The 26237-nt window shown below is 40.2% G+C and overlaps 2 protein-coding genes and 1 pseudogene across 8 annotated transcripts in view, besides 2 other annotated features; 2 read left to right on the plus strand and 1 right to left on the minus strand.

Moving 5' to 3' along the window:
- XPOT (exportin for tRNA) overlaps nucleotides 1-20380 on the plus strand; it is a 46734-nt gene extending 26354 nt beyond the window's left edge. For all 4 annotated transcript variants that reach the window (XM_047428193.1, XM_017018748.2, NM_007235.6 and 1 more), the window contains 8 exons: nucleotides 793-1078; nucleotides 2669-2858; nucleotides 3762-3878; nucleotides 4049-4164; nucleotides 4882-4929; nucleotides 8499-8570; nucleotides 14330-14386; nucleotides 17360-20380. In XM_047428193.1, the coding sequence (XP_047284149.1) occupies nucleotides 793-1078; nucleotides 2669-2858; nucleotides 3762-3878; nucleotides 4049-4164; nucleotides 4882-4929; nucleotides 8499-8570; nucleotides 14330-14386; nucleotides 17360-17386 (913 nt within the window). In that variant the 3' untranslated portion in view covers nucleotides 17387-20380. The remainder of the gene's footprint in view (nucleotides 1-792; nucleotides 1079-2668; nucleotides 2859-3761; nucleotides 3879-4048; nucleotides 4165-4881; nucleotides 4930-8498; nucleotides 8571-14329; nucleotides 14387-17359) is intronic.
- Nucleotides 7511-7711: a silencer, noted in NCBI's record as "peak1761 fragment used in MPRA reporter construct". NCBI's record gives its function as "represses an SCP1 promoter by STARR-seq MPRAs in K562 erythroleukemia cells {active_cell/tissue: K562}" and the evidence as "EXISTENCE:reporter gene assay evidence [ECO:0000049][PMID:32103011]".
- On the minus strand, nucleotides 11767-12574 carry LOC100420899 (mitochondrial ribosomal protein S25 pseudogene; annotated as a pseudogene).
- Nucleotides 21246-21715: a silencer, noted in NCBI's record as "silent region_4621". NCBI's record gives its function as "represses an Ori minimal core promoter by ATAC-STARR-seq in GM12878 lymphoblastoid cells {active_cell/tissue: GM12878}" and the evidence as "EXISTENCE:reporter gene assay evidence [ECO:0000049][PMID:35858748]".
- Nucleotides 21375-26237, plus strand: part of TBK1 (TANK binding kinase 1) — a 49995-nt gene continuing 45132 nt past the window's right edge. For 2 of the 4 annotated variants that reach the window (XR_007063071.1, NM_013254.4), the window contains exons 1-2: nucleotides 21375-21442; nucleotides 25095-25212. Coding sequence is in view for 3 of the 4 variants with exons in the window: in NM_013254.4 (NP_037386.1) it covers nucleotides 25126-25212 (87 nt within the window). In the remaining variant the exon portion in view is untranslated. Of the gene's footprint in view, nucleotides 21894-25094; nucleotides 25213-26237 lie in introns of all 4 variants that reach the window. The other 2 variants (XM_005268810.2, XM_005268809.2) reach the window with 2 other exon arrangements.

Genomic DNA, 26237 nt, shown 5'->3' on the forward strand with positions numbered 1-26237 from the left:
TAGAAGTTAAATTGTTCTATAATATATTTAAGAACAAGAGCTAGATATTAGAGAGGTTGTATAAAGAATTCTGAAGATGGTTTTCTAAATTTAAATGGGTGGTTTGCAGGTTACCTAGTACAGGCCTAGTCATAATAAGTGGATTTATTTTCTCTTTTCTGTCCACTTTGTCAGTAGGATTTTTCTCTTTTTTTTCTTTTTTCTTTTTTTTGTGGGGGAGACACAGTCTTGCTTTGTCACTCAGGCTGGAGTGCAGTGTTGTGATCTCAGCTCAGTGCAACCTCCGCCTCCCAGGCTCAAGCAATTCTTGTGCCTCAGCCTCCAAGTAGCTGGGATTGCAGGCATGTGCTACCACACCCAGCTAATTTTTCTATTTTTAGTAAAGACCGGTTTTGACCATGTTGTCCAGACTGGTCTTGAACTCCTGGCCTCAAGTGATTTGCCTGCCTTAGCCTCCCAAAGTGCTGGAATTAGAAGCATGAGCCACAATACCCAGCCCAGTCAATAGGATTTTAATAAAACATTTAGGTAGACTCACATTAGAAGGATTATATTAACTACATGTCATTCATTTAAGTTAATTTGAGCTCTTTTGTTCTGGAAAGATCATTGGAAGCAGTAGTTTACAAATAGCCATATTAGCTAAAGATGGAAGTAATTGTGATGTGGAAAATAAAGGTCTGGTTATTTAGTTTTGTTAATTTTGTAATTTGTTGTGCATTGCTTTTGAATACTCCATAACACTTTTAAAGAATAAAGTTGCATCTGATTGCCTGATTTTTGCTTATATAGTCGAACCAGTAAAGCTTTCAGCAACAAACAGACTGTGAAACAATGTGGCTGTTCCGAAGTTTATCTGGACTGTTTACAGACATTCTTGCCAGCCCTCAGTTGTCCCTTACAAAAGGATATTCTCAGAAGTGGAGTCCGTACTTTCCTTCATCGAATGATTATTTGCCTGGAGGAAGAAGTTCTTCCGTTCATTCCATCTGCTTCAGAACATATGCTCAAAGATTGTGAAGCAAAAGATCTCCAGGAGTTCATTCCTCTTATCAACCAGATTACGGCCAAATTCAAGGTACCGCAAACTTTCAGAGCTCTGAAAATCTCTTGAAGATCAGATGTATTTATCTTCAGACATGTTTCGGATTTTGCCCTTGGGTTTCTTTTTTTTTGCTTTTAATGAATTACTTAAGAGCCTCATGGATCATATGTATTTTTATCATCTGTGGTGTCTGGCACACTGCCTGATACATAGGTCATGCTTAATAGATGTTTGAATATAAACAGACCCTAACCGCTTTGTGTAGCAAAAGAAAACTAGTCTGCTGTTTTAGAAGAGCATATAAAACCAGTAAACTGAGTACTAAATAAGCACCATAATTCAGGTACCCAAGCAAGAGTTAAAAGTAATTCAATGTATTAAAGTCAGTTTTCTGTAGGACATTTAAGCTGGCTAATAAAAGTGGTTAATACTTACATAGTACCTCTTTTTTCCTTTTTTCTTTTTTTTTTAAATGGAGATAGTCTCACTCTGTCACATAGGCTGGAGTGCAGTGGCGCGGTCACAACTCACTGCAACCTCCACCTCCCAGGTTCAAGCGATTCTTGTGCCTCAGCCTCCTGAGTAGCTGGAACTATAGGTGCATGCACCACACCACGCTAATATTTTGTACTTTTAGTAGAGACAGCGTTTCCCCATGTTGACCAGGCTAATCTCGAACTCCTGACCTCAAGTGATCCTCCTGCCTCGGCCTCCATAAGTGCTAGGATTACAGGCATAAACCTGGCCACTTACATAGTACTTTCTATGTTCAAAATCTGTTCTAAGCATTTTTTGTACATTTACTCATTTGATCTTCATACCTACCCTAGAAGACAGGGATTATATGTTATAGTTGAGGAAACTGAGGCATGGAGAAGTGAAGGGATTTGCCCAAGAGTTCATAAAACTCAGGAGTTCATTTGTAAGCAAGTATTGAGAACATGCTATTAAACAATGTTTTTTACCTTTGTTCAAAAACAAGAAAAACCCTAAGAGTTTAATCATATAATTCATTTTTTGAGAATTTAATTTTGAAAATATTCCATGGCAATATTGTGAAATATGTCTGACTATTATTTTAACCTAAATCTTAAGCTGTAGGAAAGGGTTTAAATTTAATGATCTTGAGTCTTTTAGTAATATTTTTTAAGGTTTTTTCCCCACCTTGAAATGGAGTCTTGCTGTGTTGCCCAGGCTGGAGTGCAGTGGTATGATCTTGACTCACTGCAACCTCCACCTCTCAGGTTCAAGCAGTTCCCCTGCGTCAGCCTCCTGAGTAGCTTGGACTGGGACTACAGGCGTGCGCCACTACACCCAGCTAATTTTTGTATTTTTAGTAGAGATGGGGTTTCACCATGTTGGGCAGACTGGCCTTGAACTCCTGACCTCAGGTGACTCACCCGCCTTAGCCTCCCAAAGTGCTGGGATTACAGGTGTGAGCCACTGCGTCTGGCCTAGTAATGTTTAGGTTATATAGATTTTATCTTAAAATTGATATTTGCTAACTGAATTATGTACGCATGCATCCTAAATAGAAAAGAAAGGCTTTATGTAAAATAGTTTTTTCTAAGTTGTATGTTAATATTGTTACTAATTTCTGAAGTAATGATTGTTTATCTTCAGATACAGGTATCCCCGTTTTTACAACAGATGTTCATGCCCCTGCTTCATGCAATTTTTGAAGTGCTGCTCCGGCCAGCAGAAGAAAATGACCAGTCTGCTGCTTTAGAGAAGCAGATGTTGCGGAGGAGTTACTTTGCTTTCCTGCAAACAGTCACAGGCAGTGGGATGAGCGAAGTTATAGCAAATCAAGGTGGGAACACATGCCATATCTAATTTGTCTGCTTAAGTCTGTGTCACTGTTGTACATCTATATGACCAAGAGCAAACTGAAGTAAATACAGAAATTTTGAAGTTTGCTATCCCATGGGAAGACAGTTTATTGTTTTCAGGGTGGGAATTGATCACTTTTATGTAAAGCACCTAAAATTAATTTGTATTCTGTTCCTTTTTCTTTCTGCAATATTTTTTTAATTTGGTTCTTTAGCAATATAAATAACATGGTTACTTACCAGAATTGACCTGACAATTGAGTCTTTATGGCAAATTTGCCATTTTGAAATATAAAATAAATGGAGCTGTACAGATTTGTGTAGAGAATTCTGTATAGGAAATTTAGGGAACAAGATACCAGGGGCAAACTGATTTTTCATTGTTTTATTTTTTAATTTGATTTGATTTGTGAGATAGGGTCTCACTCTCTTGCCCAGGCTGTAGTGCAGTGGTGTCATCACGACTCATTGCAACCTCCACCTCCTGGGCTATCCTCCCATCTCTACCTCCTGAGTAGCCAGGACCATTGGCAGTTGCCACAATGCTGGGCTTATTTTTTGTAGAGATGGGATCTCACCACGTTGCCCAGGCTGGTTAAACTCCTGGGCTCAAGCAATCTTCCTCGGCCTTACAAAGGGCTGGAATTACAGACAGGAGCCACCGCGCCCAGCTGATTTTTCAGTGTTTAATGTTTAAACTTTAGGTGCCCAGTTAATAAAAATCAAGGGATTTTGGCAATTCTGTAAATGCTTTTTTCCCCCTTCATTTTTCCCATTCCACCTGTAAATGATTTTTGACTTGTTAATGTATATGAAAAGAGAACTTCAGGTTGCTTTCCTAGTTAATTTTGGAAATTGCTTAAACTAAAGGTTTTTCTCCTCAGGTGCAGAGAATGTAGAAAGAGTGTTGGTTACTGTTATCCAAGGAGCAGTTGAATATCCAGATCCAATTGCACAGAAAACATGTTTTATCATCCTCTCAAAGTTGGTAGAACTCTGGGGTAAGATAATTTTATTTCTTAACCTTCATTTCCCAAACTCTTTCATAAAACTCTTAGACATAATGGAACATAGCCCTAACAGAGAGAGAAACTGGGAGTTGGTTTTCCCTGGTGATGAATTAATTGACTTACTTTTATATATAAGATGAAAATTTGAATTCTCTTGACAGGAGGTAAAGATGGACCAGTGGGATTTGCTGATTTTGTTTATAAGCACATTGTCCCCGCATGTTTCCTAGCACCTTTAAAACAAACCTTTGACCTGGCAGATGCACAAACAGTATTGGTAAGCACCTAGGAATCTTTGTTTACCTTGTGTAGCTCATATATTCCCAATTTCTTCTTTAATGCCAGGTTGATTATATTATGTTTCATTGATTTTTTTTTTAACTTAGTGATTTCAGATCAGGGTTCTTTTTTTAAAGATTTATGATACCTTCTGGAGTTTTTATGAATTCTTATTGAATCCCAATGCTACTGCTGAATTTTACAAATTCTACTCCTTCGACTTTAACACCTGACTTTTTCTAGGACCATGAAAGGGCATATGTCACAAACATTCTTTCAAGCTTGAGTATTAGTTTCCTACTACTACTTTAATTCTAAAACTTGTACCTAGTGGTTTTCCCTAATCATTAAGAGCATGAAATGGCAACTTGATCCTCCTTGTATGATAGTTTCCCCAAATCTAATTTTCACAATACTTAATGTCAATTTCCGCTTTCTCACTTTCCCACAACCTGGTAAAAGCTAGATTTCATAATTGTAATTTACTACGTTAAAACAACAGTTTGTATTTTTCTGTTTTTTTTCTTTTTTTACTTCAACCCACTTAGTCCATCTGCCTGTTACCTTTCCTTCCTCTATCCCTTCTCTGGAGTTAAATATTTCTCTGGAAATATTTATTTGAATTTCCCTGGCAGTGGCCAGGGTAGTAAAGAGAAGAGCTGGATCACTAAACAAGAATTGAATATATAGAAATTCTTAAACTTGTTTTTCACAGGCTTTATCTGAGTGTGCAGTGACACTGAAAACAATTCATCTCAAACGGGTAAGCCTTTTAGTCCATGCCCCTTCATTTTCATCTCACATGTGGTATTATTATCTTGTTCTTGAAAGATGTATCTTGTGTAAAATTTAACTTTTGTTTTGACTTTTTGGATGTGGGGAAAGGGGATGAATGAAAGTAGCAGTATCCATTTATTGTCCTTCATGTTTTGGGTAACATGTTTTGGTTTGACTAAGGATGTGAAAAATCTTAGCCAGAATTTCAAGATTCAGTTTTCATGATCTTGTAGGCTTCTTCACTACCAGATTTTTTATTTTATTTTTATTTTTATTTATTTTTTTGAGACTGAGTTTCACTTTTGTTGCCCAGGCTGGAGTGCAGTGGCATGATCTCGGCTCACGGCGACCCCTGCCTCCCAGATTCAAGCAATTCTCCTGCCTCAGCCTCCTGAGTAGCTGGAATTACAGGCACCCGCCACCATGCCCGGCTGATTTTTATATTGTTAGTAGAAACAGGGTTTCACCATGTTGGCCAGGGTGGTCTCGAACTCCTAACCTCAAGTGATCCGCCTGCCTTGCTTGGCCTCCCAAAGTGCTGGGATTACAGGCGTGAGCCACTGCGCCTGGCCTATTTTTTATTTATTTACAGGGTCTCACTCTGTCACTCAGGTTGGAATGCAGTGGTGCAATCTGGGGTCACTGCAGCCTCCACCTCCTGGAGTCTCAACTGATCCTCCCATCTCAATCTCCAGAGTAGCTGGGACCACACAGATGCATGCTACCACACCTGGCTAATTTTTATATTTTTTGTAGAGATGGGATTTCACCATGTTGGCCAGGCTGGTATTGAACTCCTGACCTCAAGTTGATCTGCCCACGATGGCATCCAAAAGTGCTGAGATAATAGGCGTGAGCCACTGTGCCCGGCCTTGGTTATTTTTTTAATATATATTTTACTTTATTTTTTGTGGTAGGTTCTCCCTGTGTTACCCAGGCTGGAGTGCAGTGGCATGATCTCAGCTCATTGCAGACCCCACCTCCCAGGCTCAAGTACTCTTCCCACTTCAGCCTCCTGAATAGCTGGGAGTACAGGCGCACGCCACCACACCTGGCTAATTTTTGTGGTTTTTATAGAGACCAGGTCTCACCATTGTCCCTACACTGGTCTTGAACTCCTGGGCTCAAACATTCCTCCTGCCTTGGCTTCCCAAAATGCTGGTATTACACCATGCCCAGCTGATTCTGGGTATTTGTAAATAACTGGAATTGGTTGCCAACATTTAAAAATCTCAAATACTTTTTTTTAACCAAAAATTCTTCCCTCCAGCCTCTCTCAAAGCCATAGAATGCCAGCACAGGACTGTTATTGCCACATAGCTACAGCCAGCTAAAGAGCAGTAGTTGCCCTCACCCCCTAAAAAGAACATGAGCTTTTGCTCAGTGGTCTCCATTCAGCTGTGCACTCATTTGAACTTGATTTTTTGATTCTGATAGAGACTTGAAGTGTTTTCAATTCAGCAGCATTTCTTCTATACTTGCTACCTGCTAGGGTGGGGTAGGTGTGTGTTTAGGGACAGCAGGGGAACTGTATAAAGGTAAATAAGGCATCCCCCGATACTCGAGAACTCAGAATCAAGGGAGACCAACACATAAAAAACTCCAGTGGGTTAAGTACTTTAGTGGAGATACATAAAATATTGTGGAACTAAAGCTGAATGGGCAATTTTGCCTGAGGGGCAATCTAAGCAAGCTATAGGAAAGAGGTGATATTTTTGATGGCCCTTAAATGTAGATTGATGGGAGTAATAGGGAGCTGGCATTCTGGGCAAAGTTAAGTAGGTGTACAAAGACAGATTAGATTAGATGTCACATGGTGGATTTGGTGGGAAGTTATAGACTTAATTCTGTTTAGCTAAAGTATAGAGGCAGAAGTGATAGCTAAAAAATAAGATGAGACTAGATAAAAGCCTTGTGTTACATGTGTAAAGTCAGGAAGTCAGTAGGCAGTGGGTTTGTAATTTAGGAGGGAAAGTGTTCGGAACAATGGGTCTGAAGCAGTTAGGATTAAATACTGATTTTGGAGTCCTCAGTGTAAGTCAGTCAAAGTAAAGCCATAGGAATGACTGAGACTTTCTAAGACCAGAACAGAAAGAACTTTGGCTCAAGCAAGAGTCAACAGAAAGGTAGAAGTAGAACCAGATAGTCAGGTGTGGTGGTGCACGCCTGTAATCCCAACTACTTGGCAGGCTGAGGCACAAGAATTGCTTGAACCCAGGAAGTGAGGTTGCAGTGAGCTGAGATCGTGGCACTGCACTCCAGCCTGGGCAACAGAGCGAGACTCTGTCTCAAAAAACAAAAACAAAACAAAATGAAAAAGCAGAACCAGAGGTAGGAGCATTATGAAAGATAAGAGAAGACAGTCTCAAGAGAGGAGATTGGATGGCGTTGTTTGGATGCTAAACAGTCAAGGTGGATGTGGATGAAGGATGAAAGGAAACAGTAAGGATGGTATTTCTACTTCAGAAGTATTTGTTTTATCCATAGAAGTCGTAATTTAAACATACAGAATTGAGTCAAACAATATTTTAAAGTGTTTTGCTTCAGAAAACAAAAAAAAGTTTTGCTTCATTGTTCTTTTTTCTCATCTTTTGACTGACTTGAGGTATAAGTTTACTTTCCCTGATTCAAAACAAACAAAACTACACTCTTTTAAAGTGATAACAGTGAGGTTACAAAGTGATGAACATTGCATAGGAAGCAAGTACAGACAGGGTAGACATAAGAAAAAGATGAGAAGGAAAGTAGGAGGGATCTGGGAAACAGTGAAGGGTTACTGCCTCTCAGTTACAGACAGGTTTCCTCTGATGGGTCATTAAACTGGGACTTAGATCCAAGGTGAAGGAGGAAACATAAATCCTTTGATTCAGAAGCACTAATATTAAACAGGAATTCCAGGTGGTAGTGCAAGGAAGAGTACATCGAGGAGAGATACATTGATTTTTTTTTTTTTTTTTGAGACAGAGTCTCGCTCTGTCACCCAGGCTGGAGTGCACTGGCATAATCTCGGCTCACTGCAGCCTGCGCCTGCCAGTTTCAAGTGATTCTCCTACCTCAGCCTCCCGAGTAGCTGGGATTACAGGCATGCGCCATGATGCCCAGCTAATTTTTTTGTATTTTTGGTAGAAACAGGGTTTCACCATGTTGGCCACACTGGTCTCGAACTCTTGACCTCAAGTGATCACCCATCTCCTCCTCCCAAAGTGCTGGGATTACAGGCATGAGCCACTGCACCCGGCCAAGAACCTTATTTTTCAGATGGAGAAACTGAGGCTTAGAGAGGTTAAGTAACTTGCCCAAGTGCAGCAAACCACCAGGGCACATGTATACCTATGTAACAAAACTGCATGTTCTGCACATGTAACCCAGAACTTAAAGTATAATTTTAAAGAAGGTGCCAGAGCCAGGCTTCAAACCAAGGCAGTCTGGCTCTCGGGTCTGTGTTCTTAAGCACAATACTATATTGCCTTTAAAGTGTACATGTATTGTTCCGATTCTTTTTAAGCTTATTAATGTCAAGCAAGAAAATAGTTGTAAGTATCTTTTAATCTTCAGGGCCCAGAATGTGTTCAGTATCTTCAACAAGAATACCTGCCCTCCTTGCAAGTAGCTCCAGAAATAATTCAGGTAAGAGCTATTTCTTACCATTGTGTAGGCGAGAGATCACAGTAGTAGCAGCATTGCCTGTGACATTGTCGCTAGCAGAAATCAAAAATATTTTCATATTACATAAGTTGTTGCCAGCATCTCAAAATACTGTTTATGCTTATCACCATTTTGAAATTATGAGTTACTAAGTAATATCACTACACCTTGTTACCCAACAAGTTAATAAGTCCTTACTGTTCTAGCATACTTTAGTTTGATAACCATTATTCAGTATAATTGGCTTCTATCGTAATCCCATGTATTATGTTTTATGCATTTTTTTAAAAAAACATTCTAAAGGAGCCTAATAGGCTTTTCCAGACTGCTGAAGGGGACCACAGCAGAGTTCTGAAGCTTTGTACCAGGTAGTTCATTGTGTGTACACCAAGCTTATCAATGCTTAATCTGTAAATCTGAAACTATTTTAAGGAAAGTGTCTGGAAAGTTACCTTATACTTTTAAGAAGTCATTTGTATAATATTGTTTCTTGGCATATAATTTTCCAGATTTCTTGTCCAGTAGTACATGGAGTTAATGAAGTATCAAACTTGATTAAAACTAGAATTACAATCTCTTATGTAGATTCCAAAATTTGTTTCTTCATCAATAGTGTTTTTATTTTATTGTAAGAACACTTACATGAGATATATACCATCTTAACAATTTTTACGTGCACAACACAGTATTATTAATTATAGGGACAGTGATGTGCCTATAAAATATAGGTGGATCTCCAGAACATATTCATCTTGCATAACTAAGACTTTATACCCACTGATTAGCAATTCCCATTTCCCACAGCCCCCATCTCCTAGAAACTACCATTCTACTCTCTGATTCTGTGAATTTGACTACTTTAGATACCTAATATAAGTGGAATCATGCAGTTATCTCTCTTTTTGTGACTGGCTGTTTCACACAATGTCCTTTAGGTTCATCCATGTTGTTACATATGGCAGGATTTCGCAATTTTTTAAGGCTGAATAACATGCCACTGTATGTATATATCACATTTTCTTTATGCATTAATCCACTGATAGATTCATTGGGGCTATTTTCACATTGTAAGTGCTACAGTTAACATGGGAATGCTAATATGTCTTTGAGATGCTGATTCCAATTCTTTTAGATAAATACCCAGAAGTGGGATTGCTGGATTATATGGTAGTCCTATTTTTAATTTTTTGAAGAAACATCTTACTATTTTCTATAGTGGCTATACACCATTTTGCATTTCCATCAGTTGTGTAGCAGGGTTCCAGTTTTTCCACAATGTCACCAACACTTGCTGTCTTTCATTTTTTTGTAATAGCCATTCTAACAGGTGTGAGGTGATATCTCATTGTGGTTTTGATTTGCATTTCCCTTATGATTAGTGATGTTTGTTTTTTCATACACCTGTTAACCATTTGTATTTGGAGAAGTCTATTCAAGTCTTTACCCCATTTTCTAATCAAGTTATTAAGTTTTTTGCTATTGAATTAGAGGAGTTTTTTTATATGTTAGAAATTAACCCCTTATCAGATAAATGGTTTGCAAATATTTTCTCCCATTCTTTAGCTATTCCAGAGGTTGCCTTTCTGCTCTGTTGATTGCTTACTTTATGGTGCAGAAGCTTCTTAATTCAATGTAGCCCCACTAATGTAGCTTTTCGTGATATCAATGAAATCATTTCAAAGACCAGCATCTTGAAGCTTTTCTCCTATGTTTTCTTCTAGTTTTGCAGTTTGGAGACTTACATATAAAGTCTTTAATACATTGAGTTGATTTTTGTGTAAGATAAGGGTCTCGTTTTCTTTTGCACGTAGATATCCAGTTTTACCAGCACCATTATTGGAGAGATTATTGTTCCCCATTGTGTATTCTTAGTACCCTTGTTGAAGATCAGTTGACTGTATACAGGAGTTGATTTTCAAATTCTATTTTGTTCCATTGGTTTATATGTCTGTCTTAAAAGAGAGAGGGTCTCACTCTGTTGTCCAGACTCAAGTGCAGTGGCACCATCATAGTTCACAGCAACTACAAACGCCTGGACTCAAAGAATCCTTCTGCCTCTGCCTCCCAAGTAGCTAGGATATATGTCTGTCTTTTGCTAGTACCATACTGTTTTCACACTGTAATATTAAAATATATTTTGAAATCTGGAAGTGTGGTACATCCAGCTTTGCTCTTTCTCTGGATTGTTTTGGCTATTCAGGGCCTTTTGTGATTCCATGTAAATTCTAGTTTTGTTTTTTCTATTTCTATAAAATATGCTCTTGGAACTCTTATACGGATTGCCTTGAATCTGTACGTCACTTTGTTTTTTATTTTTGGAATGATTAAGAAGCTTTTTAAAATTTTTTAAATTTATTTTTATTTTTTTTGAGATGGAGTCTCGCTTTAGTGCCCAGGCTGGAGTGCAGAGGCACGATCTTGGCTCATTGCATGCAACCTCCGCCTCCCAGGTTCAAGTGATTCTGGTGGCTCAGCTTCCTGAGTAGCTGGGATTACAGGCAGGCACCACCATGCCTAGCTAATTTTTGTTTTTGCTTTTTTTTTTAGTAGAGACCAGGCTGGTCTCAAACTCCTAACCTCAGTGATCTTCCCACCTTGGCCTCCTAAAGTCCCAGGATTACGGGCGTGAGCCACCTTGCCTGGCCATTAAGAAGCATTTTGTTGACCTGATGGAACAGGGATATTCATTTAGCAGCTCAGTTTTATATACTCTTTCCCCTGTGTCATTTTACATAATGTGTAAAGTGGGGGGGGGACCCTTTTATTGCAAAGACATTTCCAGAGTCGTCATCTTTTTCTTTCTTTTTGAGACAGTCTTGCTCTGTCACCCAGGCTGGAGTGCAATGGCACAATCTCTGCTCACTGTAACCTCCACCTCCCGGGTTCAAGCAATTCTCCGGGTTCAAGCAGTTCTCCGGCCTCAGCCTCCCAAGTAGTTAGGATTACAGGTGCCCACCACCATGCCTAATTTTTGTATTTTTAGTAGAGACGGGGTCACCACATTGGCCAGGCTGGTCTTGAACTCCTGACCTCAAGTTATCCACTGGCCTCGGCCTCCCAAAGTGCTGGGATTACAGGCGTGAGCCACCACACCTGTCCAGAACCAGGGGCTTTTCTGTGACCAAGGTAACCCCATATCAATTACCCTAGCCCATAGTGTCCTTGGACCTTACTGCTAGGCACTGGCTTTCAGTGTTGCTTTGTACTTCCCTGTCGTCTCCTAATGCCATTAGGCCTGGATAGGGCACCTGCCCTTTAACTTCACAGGTAGATTCCCATCAGAACTACTTTGAAGGCCAAAATGAGCTGGGTGAGAGAGCTGCTTTTTCTCCTGCTCTCCTTTCTTGTGTCCTCATTCTTCCCCACGATTTTTTTGATGTGTTCCATAATCTCCTTATTCATCTTGATTTCTATATCCACCAGGACCTGCTCTTCATAATATAAATAGAATTGTAGGAAGGGTAATGGTATTGTGTTCTTAAACATCATGATCTGCATCCAAGGGTTTTTTGTTTGTTTGAGATGGAGTCTTGCTCTAGTCTTGCTCTGTCACCCAGGCTAGAGTGCAGTGGCGCGATCTCGGCTCATTGCAACCTCTGCCTCCCGGGTTCAAGCGATTCTCCTGCCTCAGCCTCCCGAGTAGCTGGGATTACAGGCACCCGCCACTGCACCTAGCTAATTTTTGTATTTTTAGTAGAGACAGGGTTTCACCATCTTGGCCAGGCTAGTCTTGAACTCCTGACCTCGTGATCCACCCACCTCGGCTTCCCAAAGTGCTGGGATTACAGGCGTGAGCCACCGTGCCCGATCCAAGGGTTTTTTTTGTTTTTGGATTTGAGGTATGTTGAAAAATACAAATTTCCTGCCACTGTCACCCAGCTCCCCATGTGTGTTATAATTCACTCTTATGACCTTCACCAAGTCCCTGAACACTACTACATCACCCTGGTCTGGGTATTGCAGAAGGGTAAGGGCCCCTTCATAGGTGGTGGCAGTCAAACACCAAAGAGAGGTAAGAGAACAGCAGACATCACTTCTCGGCAGATTGCTTTGGGTAGCAAAGACATTTTAACAATATTAAGTCTTCAGTCCATGAACACAGCTTTCAATGGTGTTTTTTTGTTTTTTATTTTTATTTTGAGACAGGGTCATCCACTGTCGCCCAGGCTAGTGTGCAGTGGTGCGATCTTGGCTCACCGCAACCTCTGCCTCCCGGGTTTAAGCAATTCTTCCACCTCAACCTCCCAAGTAGCTGGGACTACAGGCGCATGCCACCACACCTGGCTAGTTTTTGTATTTTTGGCAGAGATGGGGTTCCACCATGTTGGCTAGGCTGGTCTTGAACTCCAGACCTCAAGTGATCCGGCCACTTTGACCTCCCAAAGTGCTGGGATTACAGGCATGAGCCACTGTGCCCAGCCTCAATGGTGTTTTTTTGAAGTTTTTATAATGCTGTTTTTTTCAAAAATAAAGATTTCACATGAGTTTAAAAAATGAATTTAACTCATTTTTAATGAATTTGTGATCTCTTATTTCACAGTATACCACCTTTAGAGATATTAATGACTTTCTTGGTTATCATTTGATATGTAAATAAACTCATATTTTAATGAAAATAATAAATTACTATTCTTGTGATCTTAGTGCTCATCAAAAGTAGAACTTAGACCATTCAGTTTACAGCTAATCTTCCAGATTGCTAAATGAAATAAAATTATTTTTCTATTTAGTAATTCATTATGAAAGATAAGGAACCTCAGTTTTCCCTTTTTCATATGCCTTATGTCTGACAACACATTTTGCACAATATTCTCTATTAGAATTTTCTTTTCTTTTGGTCTAGCTCTGTTTGGTTATCCCTCTTACTAGATGTGAGCAGCCGTAGCAATGTAGTTTTTGTCCCATTCACTCCTCTCAGGCATGAATCCACCTTGTCTAGGAGAGCTATGTTCTCAAAAGTGAAAGCAGCCTGTTTGACAAGTACTGACATTTGAAAATGCTATAAACCTCTTGTGGTGAGATACTGTTTGAATTAATCTTGATAAGTTAAATACCATGAATTTGAAGCAACCTTAAATTCCTTTGACAGATAAATGGATAAACAAAATATGGTATATACATACAATAGAATATTAAGCCTGATTTATAAAATAATCCTGTCATATGCTATAATGTGGATGAACCTAGAGGACATTATGCTAAATGAAATAAGGCAGTTATTAAAAGACAATGCTCTATGATTCCATTTGTTTGAGATATCTAAAGTAGACTCACCAAAGCAGAAAGTGGTGGTTGCCAGGGGCTGGAGTAGGGGAAAATGGGGAGTTCTTCAGTTAAGAGGCAAAAAGCAAGCTTGTTTTGCAAGATGCAAAAGTTCTAGAAACCTGTTGTACAACAGTGTGCATGTAGTTAATGCTTACTGTACTGTACATGTAAAAGTGGTTAAGGTGATAAGTTTTAAGTGTTTTTAACTACAGCTTTTTTAAAAAAAGAGCTGGGCACAGTGACTTATGCCTGTAATTCCAGCTTCTTGGGAGGCTGAGGTGGGAGTGTCCCTTGAGCCTAGGAGTTGGAGGCTACAGTGAGCTATGATCACACCACTGTACTCCAGCCTAGATGACAGAGCAAGACCATCTCTTAAAAAAAAAAAAAAAATTAAAAAAAAAAAACTGGATACGAATTACAATGGATTTAATACAAATACATTTGTTCTTTTTCTCCCTCTTTTCCCCACCCCCCAGGAGTTTTGTCAAGCGCTTCAGCAGCCTGATGCTAAAGTTTTTAAAAATTACTTAAAGGTAGGTATTTGTGAAGCTCACGTATCTTCATACAATTAGGTAATGTTTGAGAGCCAAGAGAGAATACATACCTGCAATTATAGATGTTTATGTGAAGTCCCTTTTAACTAAGCTCTTGAAAAAGAGTATAAGTTAGGTAAGCACACTGAATGTGTACACCTTTGAGTATATTGGTGAGAAAATGCCAGTTTTCTTTTACAGTTTCATGATGTAATTAAATAGAAACTAGAGGGATTAGGAGAATAAGAAATGTTCAAGAACAGTTGTCCAAATTAAGTTGAAAAGAAGGGGCTAAAAATATAAAAACAGAAGGATGAGATATTTGCTTATATCCTATTTTGAAACATTTGAACTGTAAAACAGACAAAAAGGAGAATCCTCAGATTTGGGCCATCAAGCCTCCTTTTACATTTACGAAATTACTGATTTTTTTTTTTAACTCTGTAAATCAACAAAAAGTGTCACGTGTTTATTTGGTATTCATAGTTATAATTGAGTTCATGAGATGAAACTGTCTTGGTCTTACCTAGGTAGTCATTCATTTCATACATAATGACTGCTTTTTATGTACCAAGTACTACAGTAATGGCTGCAAATACAACTATGAGTAATTTTCCCTCCCCATAAGGAGCTCATGATCTAGAAATAAAGTTACAGTGTGACAAGGTGAATTATTTTTTATTATCTTCACTCAAATAATTTGAAGACAAAGCACTGTATTAAATTCAGTAGCAGGTAACTTAGTGTATCACCTGGTTCTTTTAGCAAAGACATTCAGTAGAATTTGTAAGTCAGAGGGCTTTGCGCAGTAAATAATTTAAGTGTGCCATCCTTTGACTGTGGTTCTAACATCTTCCCTTGTCAGTTTTTTCTTAGTTGTAGTTTGTCAGCTTAAACATCTCAGAGTTTTTGTGGAAGAATATTGAGGGCTTGTTTTTGTTTATCATTGGGAACCCTCCCCTTCGCCATCCTCCCATAAAAAAGCAAAGTGCCTACAGGAGTAACCCCTGTTAAATAACTGATCAGTCAAACTGAATTTAAGGACTCAGTCCTCACTATCTGTTAGAGGTGTCTGTAACAGTAGATCTAGGTACCCTATAGAAGGCTTGTTCTCCAGATGTGGTTATTTATCTGCATAGCATTTATAAAAAGTCTTCCTTCTGGGCCCAACTTCTCTTCAGTGATGACATTATCTTAGTGATCATAATTCTCAGTGTTAGCATTATTATTCTAGTTGGAAAAAATGAATTTCATTCGTGTTCACTCCTCCCTTCACATCTGATTGATCCTCAGATCTTGCAGATTCTTTCCTCATCTTCTCTCTCTTCTGTCTCTGCTGCTCTGGTGTAGGCTGATGTTATCTTACTCTGATCTCTCTTCTCTTGTTCTAGCCAGGCTGATGTGTTTGAAAACTTCAAGCAGTCCTTTGATATTTATTCACCTTCCTCATAACCTTCCTGAACAAATTCATGTTTCTCAGTTTGGCACTTAATTTTTTTTTTTTTTCATATTCTGCCCTGAGACTACCTTTCTGTTTTTTCTTGCAGAAATGGTCTTTACTGTTCTTGTAGTTCTTCAAAAATCCTGCCTTACTAGCAGCCCAACTTCTGTATGAACTGTACCCATTTCTCTAGGTTTGCCTTAAGCACAGCCTCCTTGTAAGGTTTTCTTTTGCCTATATAGTGATCATTCTTTCCCCTGCACATAGTAGATTATCTATTAAATGAATCTCCTAGGTACTAGGGCACTATCAATACTGTTCTTGTCTGTATTAGTCCATTTTCACGCTGCTGATAAAGACATACCCGAGACTGGGCAATTTACAAAATAGCTTTATTGGATTTACAGTTCCACATGGCAGGGGAGGCTTCACAATCATGTCGGAAGGCAAGGAGGAGCAGGTCACATCTTACGTGGATGGCAGCAGGCAAAGAGAGAGCTTGTGCAGGGAGACTCCCATTTTTAAAACCATCAGATCTTGTGAGACCCATTTACTATCAGGAAAACAACATGGGAAAGACCTGCCCCCATGATTCAATCATCTCCCACCCGGTCCTTCCCACAACACATAGGAATTATGGGAGCTACAAGATGAGATCTGCGTGGGGACACAGGGTCAAACCATATCATTGTCCTTACTGAGAACACTGAATTATGTCTGGTGCTCACCTGACCTGCCATGGATGGCAGCATGTAGTACTAGGCCATGCCTAGCACAGCCTCTAGCCAACTCCTTTGTAGTCTCAAATTTTGACTTGGAAGTACTTTTGAATCATCAAATAAATAGTAAATTCCTTACAGAGTTAGAACTGCTATGTTTAGCTTTGACTTGTTTCCTCCTCAATATTTAATTTTTTTTTTTTTGAGACGGAGTTTCACTGTTGTTGCCCAGGCTGGAGTGCAGTGGCACGATCTCGGCTCACCACAACCTCTGCCTCCCAGGTTCAAGTGATTCTCCTGCCTCAGCCTCCCGAATAGCTGGGATTACAGGCATGCACCACCACACCCGGCTAATTTTTTCTATTTTGAGTAAAGACTGGGTTTCTCCATGTTGGTCAGGCTGATCTCAAACTCCTGGCTTCAGGCCTCGGCCTCCCAAAGTGCTGGGATTACAGGCGCCGTGCCCGTCCTCAATATTTAATTTACCAGTGTTAATTTGGAAATAGTACCAATCAGTAAAAAGGTGTCAAGAGCTTGTTTTCTTCTGACCACTTGATTTCTATAGCATAGAGATAACACCATATTTTCACTACTTCCCCAGTTGGGTGATGTCAGCATAAGTTATATCTACACTTACCAAACTCTCCAGAACAGAAAGTTCTTAGCTTGGATTACATACGGATATATAAGGCATGCGAAATGTTCTAATGTTACAGAAGAACATTGCTAGCACTCAGATACTTGGAGCCATTCTTCAGGTGAAAGTGATATCTTCTGACATTAGTATTGATTGCATTAATACTTTATTTACAGGTGTTCTTCCAGAGAGCAAAGCCCTGAGGACTGGATTTCCCTGTGCCTACTTCATGATCATGAATTCCAGTTAATTTATAAAGAGGCGATTTTTGTGTGCCATTCACACTGGTCTTTTTCACATTGTTTTGAGCTTATTGCAGTATATGTTTTGGGATTTTTCTGTAAAATGGGTGTAATTTTCCTAATACAGGTATGTAACAACAAAAGAAGTTGCCTGCATGCCGGTCCAAATTGTTCTGTATAAAGATGCTCTTAAAAGACACAAGAGTTATCCTAGAACCTTAATTCTTTTTTATTTGAAATTTTAAGTCAAGTCCTTTATAAAGACCATAGCAGTGGAAAACAGTGTACTTTTTAAAAAATTGCTGAATATAAAATCTTTGAAAATTTTCTTTATGTGTGAAGACACAAAGTATGGGGGAAGACAGCAATCAAAACTAACTTTTTGTAGATAGCCATTTCATTTCTTTAAACTGTTTCAACGCCAATATGTATTCTACAAAAGAGAATGGTTTTAGGCTCCAGTGTTATACTTTTTTTTATATATATATATAAAAATAAACTTTACGTAGTGAAATCTTCCAAGTCTTTTCTGGAATTATTATAAATACTTTAGTTTTATTTTCTCATCTTAATCTCTCCATAATTTCCCATTTAAAGGTTTACAAATATGAGTGTGTGGATGCTTTAATTCATTTAACCTCACTCCTCAAAGGTAACATGCAACTTAGTTCTGTTATATGAGAGTCTTTTTCTTTAATGTACTGGAAAAAGCCTATGTGAATCTGTTGATAGAATTTAAAATTCCAGGCCGGGCGTGGTGGCTCACGACTGTAATCCCAGAACTTTGGGAGGCCAAGGCAGGTGGATCACTTGAGGTCAGGAGTTCGAGACTAGCCTGGCCAACATGGTGAAACCCCATCTCTACTAAAAATACAACAGCCAGGTGTGATGGTGCACGCTCGTAATCCCGGCTACTCAGGAGGCTGAGGCAGGAGAATCGCTTGAACCCGGAAGGCAGAGGTTGCAGTGAGCTGAGATTGTGCCACTGCACGCCAGCCTGGGCAAGAGAGTAAGACTCTCTCTCAAAAAAAAAAAAAAAGAATTTAAAATCCCAATTTATTTTCTAACTCTTTTATTGGATGTATTTAGAACACAGTATACCTATAGTATACCTATGTGTTTATTATGTTTGTAAATGGTAACTGACATTTAATTATTAGAAGTACTTACCCCTGCCTTCCTCCATTTTTATTCATGGCTACTTGAGAAAGCAAAAGGAAAAAATAATAGTTATCAGTAGTGTCACTGGAAAGAAGAGAGGAGGGACAAAACTGAGCAGCAGAATTCGTATAGACATTTACGTTTAAATTCTAAAAGCCCAATTGAGATGTTCAGGGAGGGTTTGTTTTGCCCTTTGGCCTCATGAATGGGTTTCATGAATGGGCTTCAGTGGCTTATAAACTCTGTAAAATTCTATTCTAAATTTTGTACATTTATTTTGTTCCGGTTAATTCCAGAAGACATTTCAAACATTTTTCTTACACCATATAATAAAAATACTTAACTAAATTGACAGTTATAAAAATAAATCAGTGAAATGTACCTTATACTTTAATAAAAAATGTTTTCAGAAATAGATAAGTGAAAGCTGAGTGTTTCTTTGATAGGTTCCCCTGTACTATAGGAGTGATAATTGCAGCTATTGCAATAGTAGTAATTGTTAAATGGATACTAATGAATAGCATAGCATAGTGGGTAAGAGTTTATATAGCACAGGCTCTAGAATCAGATTAAGTAGGTTCAAATACCAGTTCTGCCAGTAACTGGTTTTAGAACCTTGGGCAAGTTAAAGAATGTCTCCCAGCCTCAGTTTCCCTATTTGTAAAATGGAAATAATGGTAGCTACCTCAAACCTCATTACGAATTCAATGAGTTAAACTTGAAAAGACTTATTACAGTAGCTGGCACATAAAGACTTGATAGTAGTTTATATGGATGCTATCTCATATTAGCATATATGGAATTAATAGTGTATCACTATACTTTTTTTTTCTTTTTTTTTTTTGAATAGAGATCAGTCTATCACCCAGGCTGGAGTGCAGTGGTGACATCATAGCTCACTGTAACTTCTCCCATACTCTACCAATCCTCCTGCCTCAGCATCCAGACTAGCTGTGATTACAGGTGTGCACCACCACACCCAGCTACATTTTTTTTTGGTAGAGACAGGGTCTCACTATGTTACCCAGTCTGGTCTCAAACTCCCGGCCTCAAGCAATCCTCCCACTGGCCTCACAATGTTGGGATTACAGGTATAAGCCACTGCACACGGCCTTACTATGCTATCAATTCCATATATGGAAAGGTGTTTTCCCTTTCAGAGCTCTTTAAAGCTCTGCAGAAGATTTACATGTGTTTATAGAGCTAAGAGAAATCAGGGCATGGAAATTGAGTGTGTAATAAAAATTAAACTCTTCATGTTATATAATCATGCATAACTTCTATCTTCATTCTCTGAAGTTGCCTAGAGCACCATCACAGCTAGGAAGCTTCCATCATGAATTACCTTATTTCCAAAAGCAAGTACTCAAATAATTGTCTCAAGAGAGGAAGGACAAAACTGTTACAAGCTGAAATATTTGGGGATTTGTTTGACTTGACTAGGGAACCACAAGTTTTCATATAATGCCTGATTTAGCCCTGTGCCTAACAGTTTAAATCTTAATGCTAATGTTAATTGCTTCCCAGTTGGTTGACCTTATAAGAAAACACTGTGTGGTATTTTAATGTGGTAAACATGTGAATGAAGGCCTGTGGCTCAGTTAATCACTCCCACAACTTTGAGCTGTGAGTTTTACTGGTGGAAGGAACTTTAACAGGTCTTCGCTCTTGTCATTAGATATCAAAGAACTGAAATTAGTTGGAATTGTAAGCAGTGAATAGATGTGTTGTTAGAATGATTCCATCACTTATACATTGTTTAAAATGCTAATAAAGTAACTTGCTTTGTAAGAATTCATTAGAGTGGACTTTTGTTATCTCCATTGTGCATTTGATAAAACTGAGGCTTAGAGAGGTAAGAGATTAGCTTTTAAGTCAGTAATTGGCAGCCGAGACAGCAACCCTAGGTCTGTTACATTCAAAAGCCTCTGAGCCACTCCGCATGACTTCCCATTCATTCGTGTTTGCTGCTGCTACTCTGGGAAACACCATCTTCCTCTTCCCCTCCACTCAGAAATTTAGCCCTAGATTAGCAGCGGTCTCTGCTCCCTCATGTTGAGAAAGGCCTGTTGTGCTGTCCGTGGGCAGAAGGGACCCCTTCAGAAAGCTATTCCTTATTGGGAATAGCGGCTTGAGATTTTGACTGCACGAATATTGCAGGACCTAATTTTAGTATTTAAGTTTTAGTTCTTAAATTCTTAAGTTTAGAGTTAGATACTCCAATACGGCCGTTTTCCAAAATACCGAGAGGGAATTAAATGAACATTTTTACATTAAGAATTTAATGTATTTCTGGGTGATGGGAAAATGAAAAAAACAATGTAAAGTCTGAATTACTGCGAGACGATAATCTGGCTCCACTGCAGCCAAAGTGGGCCCTTAAAACATAGAATCCATCCCTCCCAGCTCTGCCGGCCGTCTGTGCCTGCCCCCCACGTGTCCCACGTTCTGCACACCTGTAAATCTTGGGATGTAATCCCTTGCTCAGCGTCGGTCCGCCCTACTGTCGGCCAGCGCTCGGGGAAGGGGCGGGATTTGCAGTTGCGGGAATCCCAATTACTGTGTTCGCTGCTCAGGGCTCCTCATTCCCCTTTAGAGTAAAGGGCGAGGGCAACAGTGGACGGGGTGTCTCCAGACATCCCCCTCATTACCGTGGCCGCGGAAGCCGACTCGGCAGTTGCCGCCGCGGCTGTGGTGACTACCAGACGGGCCATAGGCGTGCGCACGCGCACCCGCACCGGCGCGCCGGCCGTCGGTCACGTGGCCTCCGGCCAGGGCTTGCGAAGCCGGAAGTGTCCTGAGTCTCGAGGAGGCCGCGGGAGCCCGCCGGCGGTGGCGCGGCGGAGACCCGGCTGGGTAAGTGAGACGGCCGCGGGCTGAGGGGCCAAGGCGGCGCGGGGCGCGGTCGGTCAGGCCTGCGCCGCCCGGCGGGGAGCGCTCCCGCCCCCTGTGGGAGGCTGGGATGCTGAGTCAGAGCGGGGGCGGGGGCGGGCGCACCGAGAAGCCCCGGACGACCCGAGGCCAAGCCATCCAGGACCCCGGCTGCGTGGACACTGCCTCTGGGGTGTGTGTCGGGTGGCCGTAGCCGGTGGAATGGTCGCGCGGGCCCTGTTACCTGCATCCCCGCTCCGCGCCGCGCGGCCGGTCCTCGACCTGCATCCCGTCCGGCGGCTTTGGGCATAAAGAGGACGACTCCGTTACCGGGCCTGGGCCCTGGCTGCCTGGGGAGGCAGGGGCACCTCTTTCCCTTAGACTCGCTGTTTTCTACCCTCTTTCCGAGCGTCGACACAACGGGCAGTTTTTAAATGTATTGATTTTTCAGAGGATTAAAAAGAGACGTTTCCTTAGAGTTTTAGTGATGTTCAGTCCGCAGAGGTTGACTCACACCGGAAATTAGAAGCATAAGATGTTTTAAATATATGCCGATGAAATACGAATTCCCAGACATTTCCTTGCTCCTCGTCTACCTGGCTTATGGGTTTAATTTGTAATCTCTATCCCAAGTATTCTTAGTAGGTGGCCTCAAAACAACTCCCAAGTAATTGCCAAATGTATAACCAAAGACTGGTCTTTTCCACTCTGAAACCCCAGTGTATGAATCACATAGGGGCAGAGTTTAGAAATCCTGGAACTTTGTCCATAGGCCATGTCGTCAAACCTGTTTTCATCCCTCAACAAATAGTAACTTTCGTTTTGGACGGTGTAAGGAAGTAGGCTGAAGACGGCATCATCAGCAACATAGTTGTTGAGTGTCTGCTTATATGCTTGTCAAAAATTTGGGAAGATTTATATGGCAAGCACGTTGTGGGTGTGCTGAGTCATGTTTTAACATGTTATTGTGGAGTTATTGGAAGATAATTTCAAAAGACATTTCCCCTGACCACTATTGTGATTACTGTTAAATAGAAACCATAGTTTTGTATTTGCATAGAGAACAGATATCTTAGCTGATAAATATTTTTCTTATTATCCTGAAGGTACATACATATAGGTACCTAATGGTACTATTTGCCATTTACAGTTACATTGATTAGGGAAGGTTTTTCGTTAGATAGTTGAGACGTTTGTTATTGTATCGTGAGTGAAATGTAATGACTGGCAAATGTGTATTCCTTATTTGTGAAAAGGGAATCTTATTTTTATTGCTTATTTCCTATAGTCGTATATAAAGTTTATCTAAATTAGATGGGTAGTAAAATTATATAAAAATATCCTACTATATCAGTGATTGGTAAAATTGAGACCCCTGACCATTCTGCATTTTCCTAACCCAGCTTGGGGATATTGGTGGTCATTAATTCATCACAGAATACCTAGTCTAGCATACTACTTTTTGCTTTAACTTACTGTGGAGGGATATTAAAATCCATGTTTTAATGACAATACAGCAGGTTTAAGGGGGCATGGTGGGACTAGTGTTTATGTTATGTTAGCATACATCAATTTTAGTCCAGTGTGGAGCTTGGATACTTTGTATACCTTGATAGATCCATAGCTTTTCAGTATTAAAGACTTGATAATACAGGCTACTTGGTACGTTTATATATTTATACTTGGAGGTTGGAGAAACTATCCTTAAATTAATTCCAGAAGAGTTCGTAACTTTTCAGGAATAATAATTTTTGCACCTTTCCTTTATGTTTGTCAGGTTCTGTGTAGATTGTGTAGATAAAATTTTAGCTTATGGGAATATTATGCAGTGACAACATTTGTCTTCATTAGTGTTTCTCTGCTCTGAAGGAAACAAAGTAATTTTTCCTATATTTGTTATATTTTACATTATTACTTTTCTTTATTTTAAAACACCTTAAATTATGTCATAAATTAATCTTTCAAAACATTTGAAGGAGGTAAGTAACAATATCACTCTCATCAACAAAGACAAAATTAGAAGAGAAATAGGTGTTGTTTTTGTTTGTTTTTGTTTCTTTTTGAGATGGAGTCTCGCTCTGTCACCCTGGCTGGAGTGCAGTGGTGCGATCTCAGCTCACTGCAACCTCTGCCTCCTGGTTTCAAGCAATTCTTCTGCCTCAGCCTCCCGAGTAGCTGGGATTACAGGCATGCGCCACCACGCCTGGCTAATTTTTTTGTATTTTTAGTAGAGGCGGGGTTTCTCCATATTGGCCAGGCTGGTCTCGAACTCCTGACCTTGTGATCCGCCCGCCTCGGCCTCCCAGAGTGCTGGGATTACAGGCATGGGCCACTGCACCCGGCTGAGAAATAGATGTTTCTTTCAGCCCTGTGTTAAGTGAATTAAATTGAATGTATGTCATTGGTTAATGTTTTTTTTTTCAAAGCTCATACAGCATTTTAGCCTTGAATATTGCTAGAAACTCAGATCTTTTTTTTTTTTTTTTTTTTTTGAGACGGAGTCTCGCTGTGTCACCCAGCCTGGAGTGCAGTGGCGCGATCTCGGCTCACTGCAAGCTCCGCCTCCCGGGTTCCCGCCATTCTCCTGCGTCAGCCTCCCGAGTAGCTGGGTCTACAGGCGCCCGCCACCATGCCCGGCTAATTTTTTTGTATTTTTAGTAGAGACGGGGTTTCACCATGTTATCCAGGATGGTCTCAATCTCCTGACCTCGTGATCCGCCCGCCTCGGCCTCCCAAAGTGCTGGGATTACAGGCGTGAGCCACCGCGCCCGGCCAATTTTTTTTTTTTCTTTTTTTTTTTTTTGCGATGGAGTCTTGCTCTGTCACCCAGGCTGGAATAGGGTGGCACGATTTCAGCTCACTGCAGCCTCTGCTTCCGGGTTGAAGTTATTCTCCTGTTGCAGCCTCCCGAGTAGCTGGGATACAGGCACCTGCCACCATACCTGGCTAATTTTTGTATTTTTTGTGGAGACGGGGTTTTGCCGTGTTAGCCAAGGTGGTCTCAAACTCCTGGCTTCAGGTGATCTGCCTGCCTCGGCCTCCAAAAGTGCTGAGATTACAGGCATGAGCCACTGCTCCCAGCTGAAACTTAGATTTTTTTTGTCATATTATTGTATTTTATTATAGTATGTATAGTGTATACTAACTTACAGGGAAAAAATGTAAACAAAATGAAGGTCATGGGGAAAATGGCATCTTGCTTTAATCTTCAACTTAAAGTTACTCTTAATAATCCATTTATACCATTATGTCAAATTTTAGTCATCCCTGCAGAATTTTAGACGAATGAAAACAGACAAGGTAACACCAAAGAGTTAAGCACAGAAAGTGATATTGATTAAAAAGTTGAAAGTAAAAATCTACATTGGCTAGAACTGAACATTCAGATCCGTCTCTCCAGAGGAAAATCTAACTTGAATCATAATGGTTCATATTTTGACTTGTTCATACCATATCAGTTAGCAACTTATGACTTGAAAATACTTTGAAACTTAAGATATTTATATTGAACTGTTTATACACTTCATGTCAGTAACAGATAATGGGTGATCTTACTTGAGACTAAAAACAGCTAACATTTGTTTCTTAGCTGTGTTACTCCCTTAAAACATAGTTGCAAATTTTTTTTTTCTCTTAGTATAACAAGAGGATTGCCTGATCCAGCCAAGATGCAGAGCACTTCTAATCATCTGTGGCTTTTATCTGATATTTTAGGCCAAGGAGCTACTGCAAATGTCTTTCGTGGAAGACATAAGGTTAGTACAGAGAAAACTTTGAAGACCTTTTATCACTGTATGTATTTTGTTCTAAGATGCATGTTGACACTAAAGTGTGTGACTTGGTGATTTTGATCCCTTTGTCTGAAGAAATTGTTTTAATGATTTTCGTGGTCATTTAAGGCATAGCTGTGTCAGGCAGTGAACATATCTACCCAGTGGTGGCACAGGTTAAGTGTTAGTGAGTGGAGGAAAACAGATTGGTTGAAAATGGACTGGGAAAGATTAGTGTTGTGCCTTTTGATGCTTTCCCCAGCCCAGCTCCCTAATGGTAGAGTGATTTCACTGACAGAAGTTCAGTGTAATGAGTTGAGGTAGCATTTGATGTGGCATTTTGGTTGGTAGGGAGGCAGATGTGTATTGGGAGGGGAACTCACAGGTGTTTCTGATAGGCTCTGGTAAGGGTAAGTGCCCCTACTAAAACAGCATCCTACAAAGTAGATTGGAGTAAAATGAGATTCTCAACAAGGAGCCCAGGTTGAAAAGACCATATTTTGGTATAAGGTAATCAGAACCTGGTAGTGGAAGTGGGAATAAAATAAAAAGATTATTCCCAGAGGCACTTCAAGAACCAAAAAGGGGCCGGGCGCGGTGGCTCACGCCTGTAATCCCAGCACTTTGGGAGGCCGAGGCAGGCGGATCACGAGGTCAGGAGATCGAGACCATCCTGGCTAACACGGTGAAACCCCGTCTCTACTAAAAATACAAAAAAAATTAGCCAGGCGTGGTGGCGGGCGCCTGTAGTCCCAGCTACTCGGGAGGCTGAGGCAGGAGAATGGTGTGAACCCAGGAGGCGGAGGCTGCAGTGAGCCAAGATAGCACCACTGCACTCCAGCCTGGGTGACAGAGCAAGACTCAATTAAAAAAAAAAAAAAAAGGATTTTGTTTAGATTCAATGTGGAGGATGAAATTTAAAATAGTTAAAATAATTTAAAATTAAGAAATTGAAGATAATTAAACTTTCTATTCTGGGAAAAAGCTGGAGAAATGGAGTCTGAGAAAGA

Source organism: Homo sapiens, chromosome 12 (assembly GCF_000001405.40).
Source record: "Homo sapiens chromosome 12, GRCh38.p14 Primary Assembly".
Taxonomy (NCBI): domain Eukaryota; kingdom Metazoa; phylum Chordata; class Mammalia; order Primates; family Hominidae; genus Homo; species Homo sapiens.